Raw genomic sequence first — 11,504 nt, 5'->3', positions numbered from 1 at the left:
GAGAGAAGGCTATACTCTTTCACACGCTGTCTTTCCTGCGCTCCGTATTCCCTCATAGGCAGGATGGGAGTGCTCTTGGTATTTCTCCACTTTTCTCCTCCCCATCTCACAAGCAGATCTCTATATTCCCCCTTCCTAGTGGCAGAAGAGGGAAAGAAGGCTAGTTTCTACAAATACAACATTTAGTCAAAAAGAAAAACAGTGTCAGTAAAGCAGACTCCCCTTGCTGATAGGGGAAGTAGGCAACTAAGAAATGCTGTTGGAAACAGTTGCTCAAGAACAAAAAACAAATTCAAGCACTCAAATAACCAGGAGACAAGTTGATGGGTTGTGAGCCATGCTGAATTAGAAACTAAAACATTAGGAGACAGTACTAAACAACACGCTGTTGGGCTTAACCTCAATGGTCAACATCAGTAAGGTCAATACCAGTTTATTATCAGCTCTGACACCAGAAGTCCTTGTTTAAGGCAAAAGACTGAGGTTTCCTGCCGGGCCTGGGAATTATGTACACATGAAAAGCAGGTCAGGTCACAGCAGCCTGACAGCTACCCAGTATTGTAGGATAATATTTTTAGGGATTAACTGAGGTTTCTCTCCCTGTCCCCTGTTTTAAAAAACAAAAATAATCTTTAAACAAATTAGTTATGAAAATATATAAAAATTGTACTAAATCTTACTTCAAGGGAAAAGGCCTTAGCAGACCAATTCAAAGATTCAGTAGGGTATTTTAGAGGAATAGACAATGACTCTATGGGTGTTTCTCAACCTCAGCACTATTGACATTTTGGGCCTGATAATTCTTCATTGTTAGGATGTACAGGATGTTTGGTAGCATCCCTGGCCTCTACCACTAAATGCCAGTAACACCAACACCCCAAGTTGTGACAATCAGAAAATACCCTCAGACACTGCCAAATGTTCCCTGGGGGACAAAATTGCCTTTGGTTAAAAAGCACACATTGTTAGATTCAAAAAACAACAAAAAAAGAATGGTTTGTTAAAAGTTATTAAATTCTCGACAGACATCAGCTGGCTAAGTGAGTGACTGGATTCCCAAAACAAGTTTTGATCACATTAGAATCCCTCAGGAAATCGCTTAAATATTTTTTCAGGAATGCTATTTCCCACCCCCCTAGAAGGAGATTGTGAATTACATTACACAAAAGTTCCGTCCCAGATGAGCTTTGGGGCAATTTTCTTTTACAGTCTTCATGGACACACTTATTTGTGTTCATCACCCTCTCCCCAGGCATTTAAGCGATAACAATGGCAGCTTTTCATCTGTGCTGCTGTTGAGGGAAGGAAGCATGAAAAAATAAGATGGATGAATTTCTAAATATTATTATTAAATGCCTAGCTGAAGCAATCATGGAAAGTTAATCCATGAAAGCCAGAGCTCCTCTTGTAAGAACTAGGCTTTTTGAAATAACAAACATGTATTGAACTCAAAGTTTTAGAATCTGGAACATTGAGAGTATAAAAAGATGCAAGATGCAATATTCCCACCAAAAGAAAAAAAATGGTAGAAATACAGAGATCAAGTTAGATACAGGGAGTTATTTCTGAAAGGGCTCTATACCTGACCTCAACCAAAGTTAAAACACAGATATGGCAGAGGGGGTGACACATCGGGAAACACACCCAGATCCCAAAAGCAATAAGGGCAGGTCAAAACAAACTCTAAAGGGCTACAAAGGGCTAAAAAAAAAATGACCCTGTAGCAGAGAGCTAGAGGACTGACCACCCAAATCAAGTTTCAAATGAAAGTCACAGCTAGACCTTGGGGGAACTTACAGCTTCACCAAGAGCTGGGTCAGCTGAGTCAGCAGAATGAGACCTCTTGTCCACAGGTCATGCTAAAAGTATGAGGGAGTTAAGCCAGTGGTGGACACCCCAACAGTGGATGCAGCAACAGCAGAGTGGGAGGGGGGAAAAGCGGGGCAGTGGAGAAGATAGATCTCAGAGAGTACATGACTAAAAAATGTTAAACAGTTCTTGATGACAAAAGACAGCACTAGATTTGTGAAGCTAAGCAAACTATACTGACTTCTCCCCTCCTGAGGAGTTCAGGAAAACACATCTCACCTAAACACTAGCAACAAAATGATTGTAATTGAATTCCCTATAAAGTTATCATAAGCAAAAAGTGAATAAAGAGTAGAACAATAGTACTGCAAGCAAACAAGTCATCCAGAAATGTATGTACAAATATAAATATATAATATTTTAAACAAGTTAAAATAATTTAAGGTGATAGTAGAAGCTATAAAAGTACAACCTAAATCATAACTTTCAAATCTCAGAAATGAGATGTTTGGGCAAGAGAGAGCTGACAGAGCAGAAAAATTAAAACTAATTATAAGATAAGTCAGGAATTAAGACAAACTGGAAGGAACACAAGAGAAAATAATCGTGCCATAAAAGAAATAGGAGATGAAAGGAAGAAAGTTTTAAAAACCAACAGGAAATGAAGACAGAAAAGATTAAAAGGATCTGAAAGAAATATAGAATACAGGCAAAGAAGCTTCAGCATACATATGAGTCAACAAAATATCTATAATTCAATAAAATTTCCTAAAATAAAAAGAAGGGTACATATTTAAAGGGCATTTTGTCTACCTGGAAAAAAAAAAATGAAACCAGGCAGTCAAACATCAAAACATTGTCTAGTAAAACTATCACCCAAAAGAATAGGGGATGTGGGGATTCAGACTAACAGACCAAGTCACTTATAAGGGGGAAAAATCAGATTGACCAGACAGTTTACAACAGCACTGTTTTATGCCAGAAGAAAATTGAATAACATCAAAGTGGCTCAAGAAAAGAAACTATGAACCAAGTAGTGTTTTTTGTTCTTGTTGTTGTTGTTGTTTTTGAGATGGAGTCTCACTCTGTCACCCAGGCTAGAGTGCAGTGGTGCAATCTCGGCTCACTACAACCTCCACCTCCCGGGTTCAAGTGATTCTCCTTTTTCAGCCACCTGAGTAGCTGGAATTATAGGTGCCCGCCACTACACCTGGCTAATTTTTGTATTATTAATAAAGACAGGATTTCACTATGCTGGCCAGGCTGATCTCAAACTCCTGATCTCAAGTGATTCACCTGCCTTGGCCTCCCAAAGTGCTGAGATTTCAGGCATGAGCCACCGTGCCCGGTCCAAGTATTTCATATCTAGGTATATTGACCTTTCAATATAAAACCACAAAAAAACTGTTGTGAACATATAAGAATTGAGTAAATATTGTTCCTATCAACACTTCCTAAGAATTCTAGAAAAGGAGTTTTTCTAGAATCTGGAGAGACAACTGCAAAATGACTGTTGTTGAGCATTAAATACATATTTACCTGTAATACTTATTTTTATTTAATTTTCATATTATTTTATAAATTGCTACTTTACTAAACTTTTGTTTACGATACTCTTCACATTGATTTTTGGAGGCTATTCAGATACATAATCATATTATCTGCAAGTAGATACAGCTTTTTTTTTTCATTTTAATTCTCATTTCTCTAATTACTCTGTCTTGTTTAAATTCATTGCCTACTACCTCTAACATAATATAGAGATGTGCAACCTTGCTGTGTTTCTCATTTTAGCAGGAAGTCCTCTAATGCTTGTCCATTAAGTAAAACTGGCTTTAGTAGTCTGAGGTATACATATTTTATCTTGTTTAGAAAGTATCCACCATATTCCATATTATTGAACTATTATTTAATTTTGTCAAATTATTTTTCTGCATCTATGGAGATAATCATATAATTTTTCTCCTTATTTGTATTAAAATGATAGAACATATTAGCTGATTTTCTCATGATGAGCTTTGCTTTGCATGGAAACAACTCATTTGGTCATAATGTATTATTTTATTAATTGGCTATTGGGTTCTCTTTGACAATATTTAGAATATTTTAATTGATGGCGATGAGTGCTATGATCAAATGCAAGTGTTCTCCCCAAAATCATGTGATGAAACTAACCCCCAAAGTGAGGTATTAAGAGGTGGGGGGTCTTTGGGAGGTTATTAGGTCATGAGAGTGGAGACTTCATGAATGGGATTCATGCCTTATAAAGGAGGCATGAGGTTGCCTGCTCGCCGCTTCTGCTATGTGAGGATACCGCAAGAAGTTGCCCTCTATGAGGAATTGTCCCTCGCTATACATCAAATCTGCGGTGCGTTGATTTCATACTTCTCAAGCTCCACAATGGAGAGCAATAAATTCTCTTCTTTATAATTTACCCAATCTAAGGTATTTTGTTAAAGCAGCCCAAAAGGAAAAAGACAGTAAGATTGACCTGTAGTTCTATTTTTTGGAGCAAATTTTGTCAGGTTTTGGGATCAATTTACTTCATAAAAAGAATTTGGAAGCTTTATTTTTAAACCATGTTTTGGAATAGTTTAAATACTGTTAGGATTAACTGATCTTTAAAGTTGTAGTAAATTCCTGTGTGAAACCATCTGGGCCTCATAGTGGAGTGTTGTTTGACTTTCCTATTTCTTATCTCTTAATTGGTCCATTTAGGCTTTCTACATCTACTGTTAAATTGTATTACACCATAAATTTACCCATTTCAAATTTATTTTCAGAGTGTAGTGCAAAGTAGTCTCATAATTTTTAAAGTTTTCTCTCCTCTGGACTTTTTTATTTCTAATTTGTGTATTCTTGAGCTTCCTCTCTTATTTCTTCATTAATTTGGAAAGTGGTTTGTCTATTTTGTTGATTTTTCCCAAAGAACCAGATTCTGAACTTATTTTTAGTACTCCTTTTTTTGTTTTGTTTTCTAATACATTATTTTCCCTTTTTATCTTTATTAATTCCTTCCTTTTTTGTTGCCTTTGTCATTCTCTAGATTTTTGTGTAAAGTATACCAGTCATTCACTTTCATTTCATTGGCATAGCTATTTAATGGTTTTGTAGAGACAGGAGTCTCGTTGTGTTGCCCAGGATGTGTTCTACTGTTCTGACATATTCATGGCAATAGAAGCACATTCTGAAGATCTAGCCTGATATAGAAACTAAGAACATTACAAACACATGAGAGACTGGTTGATTTAATAGTGTTACATTCATACTATAATGCAGCCATGAAAATAAATGAGTTAAATGTATACAGGTTGCCTGGCAGAAATTTCTACAAAGAGTTGTTTAGTGATAAAGCAAGATGCATAAAAGACTATATAATTTTCTCTAAAATAAACAGTGATAAGCCTTTAAACACATACTCAAATATAATTATATATCCAAGGAAAAGGACTGGAAGGGTAAATACATTAGTTACTTGGAGGAGAAGGGAGAGCAGGTGAAGACAAGTATATACACAGAAAATGTTTTAAAATATGACCAATAACAGTAATGACATAATCACATTTAAGATAAATTATAAATGTGTGAAAATAAATATAAAGAGAAACACAAAAAGATTGTCAGTAAAATGTGGAATCCTGATACCTCAAAATGATGTGATTTAAGATGTTTTTAACTTTGTTCATTATATATTTAAGAAAATAAGAAGATAATTAAAAATTTATGGTATGGGGAGAGCTTCTCATAGTTATACATGCTCATCCTAACTGTTTCTCATTTTTACCAACATATAATTATATATTTTCTATTATTGCCATCTATTTTCCTTATAGACTAAAAATCTCTCAAAGAGAAGTTGATTTTCTTAGTTGATAGAAGGTGATTTAACAATGATTTTTGTAATGAATATTATATAAGAATAAGTAATTCTACTAATCTCAAAAATGTTCAGAAATATACTAGCTTTCCACGAAAACTTGAATCCCACAATTTTATAGCAGTATGGTAAGCTTACTAATGATTCAGAGAAGTATCAAAAAGATAATTAAAGGACCTGAAAAATAAAATTTATGGGGCAAGTTTAGAGGAAAGTATTGTTTAGCAAAGTAGTTGACAAACTGAATCATATTTATATCTATAAAAGCTTCATACAGAAGAAGGAGGCCAGCTGGTTTTCATATCCATTAATGATGTAACCAGAAAAGGGGGTCGGGGGAGGAGGAAATTGCAGCAGATGAGACATGGACTACCTACAAAGACCCTTATGGCAAGATTTGTCAAACATGAGATGAGTTACTAAGACAGGTTGTGGGATTACTTCTTCCCTCTCCTAAGGGGTGCTTCCCTCATCTCTCTGGAATGGTTTAAATGCAATCCAGCCTTGAGAAGGGTGAATGCCTTCATGACTTATAGGCACTCCTTGTGCTGTATGTGAAAGACAAATTTAGACAAGGGTAAATTTAAAACTAAAACAATTACATTCCCTTCTATCACTCCCCACTCCGTGTCCAATATTTACAGGGATGTTTGCTGTAAAAGTTTATGAGGCAACATGGCAAAGACTGGCTCCATAAGGCAATTTAACAAAGAGAATGGACCATGGAACAGCATAGCCCTGGCTCTACTACACACAAATTTCAACATTGTGTCCTATAAACCTAATTAAAATGTTTTTGCTGGTCTCCTAAACAATTTGTTTTACTTTGGACCATTCTATTGATATGGAATTTTTTTTTAAAGACAGGGTCCCAAGTCTTTCACCAGGCTGGAGTGCAGTGGCACAGTCACAGCTCACTGCAACCTCAGTCTCCTGAGCCCAAGCTATTCTCCCACCTCAGCCTCTGGAGTAGCTGGGATTATAGTTGCACACCACCACACTTGGCTAATTTTTTTATGTTTTGTAGAAACAGGAGTCTCATTATATTGCCCAGGCTGGTCTCAAACTCCTGGGCTCAAGGGATCCTCTTGCTTTGGCCTCCTAAAGTGTTGGGATTATGGGCGTGAGCCATCATAACCGGCCTTGATATAGAATCTTAACAGTGGCCATACAGCGGGGCCTCTTTGCAAGATGACTGTATCTTATTTTGCAAACATATCTCATAAGTAGTCGCTTGTATTTATCATTTTGATTCTGAATATTAAGCATTAAGTAAATACTTGCCATAAAGTAACAATGAAGCAGAGATCAAAGATTATTCCATAGCATAAGCATGGGATAATCAAGTTAAAGGTGGGATAAGGATCAAGGATTCTCCACAAAGCAGTGTACAGAGACCTATGGAAAGCAGGCTGAGAAGTTAGTGAAGAAATTTAAAATGCCTTAGAAATATGATAGCTAGCGCCTATAGGTCCACTTTTTTTAAATTTTTAATTATGGTAAAAAAAACATATACACACAACATATAATGGACCATCTTAACTGTTTTTAAGTGTGATGTTTAGGAGTGTTAAAAACATTGACATTATTGTATGACAGATCTCCAGAACTTTTTTATCTTGCAAAACTGAATCACCGTACTTATTAAGCCAACTCCCTATTTTCCTCTCCCCCCAGCCCCTGGCAACCACCATTCTATTTTTTGGCTCTCTGTGTTTGACTATGTTAGATGCCTCATATAAGTAGTATCATATAGTATTTGTCTTTTCGTAGCTGGCTGATTTCACTTAGCATAACGTCCTCAGTTTTAATCCCTGTTAGAGCACGTGGTGGGATTTTCTTCTTAAGGCTGAATAATAATCCACTGTATATATGTACCACATTTTTTTATCCATTCATCCATTGATGGATATTTGAATATGCCCTCTAATTTTCTAAAATTCAGCATAAAGTATTTTAGGAAGTGTGTCAGTTATGATGCTATTATTTCTCAGCTTCAAACCAACCCTTCTATAAACTATTTCAGGCTATTGGACCTGAGACTCTGTGAATCCCATTTCTGCTTTGCAGGCTGACTCCCTGTTAGGTTTTGTCAGTAAGGGGGCGCAGGAAGAGTGCTACTGGGGGAGAAGGAAAGCACTGTCTCCTTGACCCTATTGCTTTTTGTACTCTTGCAGTTCCTGTGTCACCCGTGCAGTATACTGCACCAAGCAGGGCAGTTCCCTTCCGTGCAGTAGCAGCAGCTCAATGCAGTTTGCAGTTTTTCTAACACTTGCAGAGCCAGCCTTAGTGTACCCCCATCAGCGGACCAGGGTCTTTCCATCTGCCTGACTTTTACCTGTACAGGTCTCTCCTCCAAACTTCTGCCTTTCAGAAATTTCAACCTGTACCTTTTGCCCCCAGCCTTAGTGGAGGGCAGTAGCCTCTGAGATGGAACGGTGTTCTCTTTTTTCCTTTCCAGTTATCTTTCCATATGATTCTCTATATGAAATTCACACTGTCCAAATAACTTGTCTGGTTTCTCCCTCCTGACTCACCCAAACTGATAAATTATGCAAACATGCCACCTGAAATTCTCAGAACCTTCCAGAAAGCAAGAACAAGCCTGAGTGTAGCCAAATAACTGAACACATCTGTTTAATCATTCATAAGATGAAAGTGAAGATTATGGCACAGTGTGGTAAGCCTTATTAAAAGGAAATGCAGGTTGTTATGGGAAGTCAGACGAAGGGCTCAGAGACAGAGAGCAGTCAAAGACAGCCGAGGGAGGCCACCTTGCACCTATGCAGGAGTCAGAGTTCAGGACGGGCTGGGGACGCTTCAGGTCTGCACTCTCCACATCCAGATAGGAGGTCTGCACCATCTAGTGCTGCTTCTGCACTCTGCCGTCCCTCTCTAGGTGATTCTCTGTGGTCATCCCTGAAGTTACAAAAAAAGTGTGTGTGTGTGTGTGTGTGTATGTGTGTGTTCTCCTGTCTTCTTTACATTCTGAGTTCTACAAGACAGCAACAAGAACAACAAGGAGACTTTTGTCCTATCTTTATATCTCTTCCAGCCCCTGGGGGATGGGGGCAGACAGAGGAAACTTGAATAGACAGTCTAGGTCTCTGTGTGCTACAAAAATTCATTCAGATGGGAGGTGTGGATGAGCAATCACAGGGACAAATCCACAGGTGCTCATCAGAATAATAACGACATTTCCTACAGAAGGGCTATGTGCCAGGCATTGCCCTGATTGCTTCATATCCATTAACTTCTATTTTTCAAAAACATTAATATCATTATTATCATTACCACCATCTTACTGATGCTCAAAGAAATTAGACTCAAAGAGAGGTTAAGGAGCTTGCCTGGCCTCACACATGCAGGATTTGAACTGTTTTCTCTGACGCAAGAGGTTGCAGTGTTCTCTCTACTGCCCCTGCTACTGCTCATTTTTATTTTTTTTATTTTTAAAATTTTCTGTTTTTTTTTTTGTTTTTTTTTTTTTTGAGATGGAGTCTAACCCTATTGTCCTGGCTGGAATGCAATGGCACAATCTTGGCTCACTGCATCACTGCAACCTCCACCTCCCTGGTTCAATCGATTCTCCTGCCTCAGCTTCCCAAGCAGCTGGGATTACAGGTATGCACCACCATGTCTAGCTAATTTTTTTTATTTGGTTTGGTTTGGTTTTAGAAACAGGGTCTTACTACATTGCCCAGGCTGGTTTCAAACTTCTGGGCTTAAGGGATCCTCCTGCCTCAGACTCCCAAAGTGCTGAGATTACAGGCCTGAGCCACCGCACCCAGCCTACCCACCCATTTTTATAAATGAAAATAATTTTAATAAAGTATTCTGTCTACTGATTTATCTTCTATTCTTATACTGTTTTAGATATAATGTTTAAGAAATTTTTTTAAACCCTGCTGTTGGCTTTTAAATATAAATTGACTCTTGCTTGACAGTAGAAACTATTCAGTTTATGATAGTATGTATAAATATAAAATTATTTTTACATTAAACTTTTGGGAGTTAGACTAATAGAGATATTCTGGAGAGTAACATTCTGGCAGTACGTAGTCAAAAAAAAAAAGTGTGCACATACCCTATGACCCTACTATCCCTCCCTCTGGGTATCCATCCCACAGAACATCACACAGTCTAGAAGAATCTTCATTGGAGCTTTGTGGTAGTAGAAAACAAGCAATCTGGTTGTCCACCTTAAGGAAGTAGATAAGTTAAAAAGTAGGTAAGGGCTGTGTGTGGTGGCTCATGCCTGTAATCCCAGCACTTTGAGAGGCCAAGGGGGGTGGATCACCTGAAGTCAGGAGTCTGAGACTGGCCTGACCAACATGGCAAAACCCCATCTCTACTAAAAATACAAAAAATTAGCTGGGTGTGGTGGCAAGCTCCTATATTCCCAGCTACTCAGGAGGCTGAGGCAGGGGAATTGCTTGAACCCAGGAGGCAGAGGTTGCAGTGAGCCTAGATAGCACCACTGCACTTCAGCCTGGGTGACAGAGCGAGACTCCATCCCAAAAAACAAGAAATAAAAAATGTAGGTAAGTGTGGTGGATGCATATTACTGAGTTCTATGCTAGAAAGCCAAACAATTGCATTTCCCAGACTCTTTTGCAGCTAGAAGTTAAAATAGAAGTTAATGGATTGATGCTACTCTATCAGATGTATTTGTGTTGCTGTAGGGGCTTCTTAATCATAAGGGCCTTTTGGTTTGTGGCAGGGCAGCTTGATTCTGGCACCAGCAACTTCCCAATACAAGTAGCCTCTTGGTGGCCTTTGGGGGTTTTTTTGTTTGTTTGTTTCCTAGACAGGGTTTGGCTTTGTTAGCCAGGCTGGGGTGCAGTGGGTAAACTCAGCTCACTGCAACCTCCACCTCCTGTGTTCAAGTGATTCTTCTGCCTCCGTCTCCTGAATAGCTGAGACCACAGGTGTGTACCACCATGCCTGGCTGATTTTTGTATTTTTATGTAGAGATGGGATTTCACCATGTTGCCCAGGCTGGTCTCTAACTCCTGGGCTCAACCAATCCACCCATCTCTGCTTCCCAAAGTGCTGGGATTACAAGCTTGAGCCACAGCACCTGGCCACCTTTGGGTTCCTAAATCAATTTTTGAAGGTTCAATCTTTAACTTTCCCAATGATTCTGTAAGCTGATTACCCTATAATAAATTTATTTCTGTCCAAACTTAAGTAGAATTTCTATTCCCTGCCCTGACCAAAATAAACACCATTGTGTATCTTGAAAAAGAAGCCTTGGGAATAACTTGTCAGGACCTGAGAAGAGCAATCTGCCCCTCTGCAGCAGGGTAAGCAGGCTTTTGGATTTTTTTTTTTCTTTTGCTAAAAATAAGACTTTGTTGCCTAGCATGTTTCATGGCTAGTAAATTTATTGTAAAAAATAAAGCTTTTTAAAACTAAACATGCAATGATATCGCCTACCAGCTATATACACAAAATGCTTAGAAATATAGCCTATCTACAATAGTAGGCACAAATATGACTTTATTTATACTCATATCCTTGGTGTAAGACTTGCAGGCACCTCAAGTGAAACCTTGAATCATGTTTTGTTTTACTTTATACTCCTAGCTAAAATGGAATATACTTTCTTTGTTTGTGTAGTTTTACTTTAGCTTATATGAAGCTAACAGTGGAATTTGAGGACTCTCAAGGAAGCTTCTCATCTTCCCCTGCAGCAAAATCAGCAGCCATTATGCTGTATGGGATATATACTCTTTCCCTACTCTTACAAGGCATTTGCTTTCTTTTTCCAGCTAGAAACATTTTCACCATCTAAGGAAGGAGGGACCAGCCC

This window comes from Homo sapiens, chromosome 2, assembly GCF_000001405.40.
Source record: "Homo sapiens chromosome 2, GRCh38.p14 Primary Assembly".
Taxonomy (NCBI): Eukaryota; Metazoa; Chordata; class Mammalia; order Primates; family Hominidae; genus Homo; species Homo sapiens.
Note: the sequence above shows the minus strand (reverse complement) of the source record.